At 35.4% G+C, this 2,642-nt stretch overlaps 1 long non-coding RNA gene across 1 annotated transcript; it reads left to right on the plus strand.

The window, feature by feature from the left end:
* Positions 1 to 268: 268 nt before the first annotated feature.
* LOC124909465 (uncharacterized) lies at positions 269 to 1,172 on the plus strand. Its single transcript, XR_007096184.1, has 2 exons — positions 269 to 333; positions 1,059 to 1,172. It is a non-coding gene; the product is annotated as an uncharacterized LOC124909465 (long non-coding RNA).
* Positions 1,173 to 2,642: the final 1,470 nt, after the last annotated feature.

Genomic DNA, 2,642 nt, shown 5'->3' on the forward strand with positions numbered 1-2,642 from the left:
GATGGAGGCCATCTGTCTTCATTTTAATATGTCTTGAAAAGTGCCTAGAACATATTAGGAAATAATTCAGTAAATAATGAGCAAACAAAAAGCTCAAAGAAAAGGATGCAAGGGTCAAACAAAATGCAAGCCTAAATTTGCACAAGCACTAAATGGATATGTGTTATTATTCTTCTGTTAATAGAACAGTGAAAAAAATCCTCTCTGTAGGACTCAAGAGCTCCTAGACAATGATTTTTTGTTTTTGTTTTTGTTTTTGCTTCTCATAGGAAGAAGACTGATAGAAGACTGTGGCCATGATTTACTGCCTGAAGCAAAGTACTGCCAGCCAAGGTACCCCTTTGAAAAAGAAAGATGGCAAATCTGCAATGGGAAAGAAGAATGCGTAACAGTCACAGATCTCTGCTTAAAACCTCTTTGTTTAGAAATCCTGCTTGCTTTTTTTTTTTTATTATACTAAGTTTTAGGGTACATGTGCACATTGTGCAGGTTAGTTACATATGTATACATGTGCCATGCTGGTGCGCTGCACCCACTAACTCGTCATCTAGCATTAGGTATATCTCCCGATGCTATCCCTCCCCCCTCCCCCCACCCCACAACAGTCCCCAGAGTGTGATATTCCCCTTCCTGTGTCCATGTGATCTCATTGTTCAGTTCCCACCTATGAGTGAGAATATGCGGTGTTTGGTTTTTTGTTCTTGTGATAGTCTACTGAGAATGATGATTTCCAATGTCATCCATGTCCTAAAAAAAAAAAAAAAAAAAAAAAAAAAAAAGAAATCCTGCTTGCTCCTTGTGGTGATAGACATATATATGTATGTGTATATGCAAATAAATCAGAGGGAAATGCATCCTTTACATCACAAATAAAGTGAAAATGAATATTATTGGACCTGGACCACAATTTCTGCCCCAGTCAAGGTATAAAATAAATCAACGTTACCCCACTCTTTTACCTGGAACTGTCCCAGTTTTTCTCTTAGGGGCTTGTCTGGATGTTGATGGCCGTGTCCTATGCATGTTTCTTTTACTAACACCAGCTGTATATTTTCCAGGATCATGCTGTTTGGACTATCAGACAGGAATTGAGGAGAGAGCTACAATCATTGTGGAAAATATTCGGATAGTGCTTACATGATACATGACCAATAATAAAGAAAGCAAAATTCTCTCTGTCTCATTTTTTAATCATAAAAGCCACATTATGGTTTATCCAGACAGAAGATGCAGGCTTGTAATGGTAGGCCCTAGGAAACCACCTCAAAATGAAATGCTGACCTGCCTATATGTTACAAATCTGGGTGAGATTTGGCCTTTACCCATCACATAAATGCTCAGTTGCTGAATGATATGCAAGACAAGTCATTATTTCCTAAAAGGAACTCTTCCAACTTATATTGAGAGAAGAATTATGGCCTTTTGCATTTGTTGCTCATTTTAATTAATAAAAAATAAAATACTAACATCCACACTTATGGCATCACTTCATTTATATAAAATGCCTTAGCTAAGTATTGAAAGCTAAGTTCTAGTGTAAATTCTGACTGGCCAGTTGTGTGATTTCAGGAAAGTCACCTGACACTTTGAGCCTAAGTTTTCATACTTCTAAAACGAGGGGGTTGGGCCAAGGCTCAGTTGGGTGGTCTTTAAAGTTTTTTTTTTTTAGCTCTGTCATGTGAATTTAGGCTCTATAATGTATGTGAGTAAATTATATAAGGATTTGAAATGGCACATAGACATGCAGAGAAATCAATGAATAATAATTTTGAGAATTTGGAGTACCTACTATTATGTGAAATGATACAGCAAGAGAGAGAAAGAAAAAGAAACAAAGAGTGTTCTTTGCTTTTTGTTTTCACTGAAGTTCATTAAATGGTCCAATTTAAGAGCTATGAAAGATAGAAAATGAATTAAAATTTTAAGTATTGTGTATGAACAAGATCTTCTAAGATATAAAGTTACCCAACTTTTAATTGTAAAGGTCATTTACCAGTATGAACTTCTCTGAACAATAATAACCACATTACTACTCATTTATATATTTGTAATTAGTTGCTACTCTTTCTTTAGAGGGTTGGCAGGCACTTTGGTTTGTCAGCCACCAAAATTAATTGTAATCATATGTGATTATTTGTATGCATATGTGTGTGTGCATGTGTTTTTAATCCTCCTGTTACAAGTCAGCAGTCAGGAACACAAACTACACAAATCCAGATACTGTTGCTAATACATAGCCTCAAGAGATTGGCATCAGAATTCCTAGAGTCTGCAGATATGGTCCTTAGATATGAATAAATGACACTCATTTATAACCTGCTACCTCCTTTTGGCACATCATAATTTTATCTTCAAAGTCTTGTGACATGACTTACTCTGTTTTCAGTCCCTGCAAAGTTGTGTAGTTAAAGTGGGAGTGGTATCAGCAAAAAGTGAGAGAGGGTGATTGATATGGTATGTAATTACTTTAGGTATAAAGACTTTGGCATGTTGTTTACGAGAAAATCTATCTTGTTAGAAAGTCACCAAATGATGTATTGGAGGGATAGGATATTTGTTTAAATTGCTATTTAAAATTTCGTTTTACTATAGATAGAGAATCACACAAAAAAATTGCAGTGTAACTTTTTAAAAATTTAGGA

The sequence above is a fragment of the Homo sapiens genome, chromosome 3, assembly GCF_000001405.40.
Source record: "Homo sapiens chromosome 3, GRCh38.p14 Primary Assembly".
Lineage (NCBI taxonomy): Eukaryota > Metazoa > Chordata > Mammalia > Primates > Hominidae > Homo > Homo sapiens.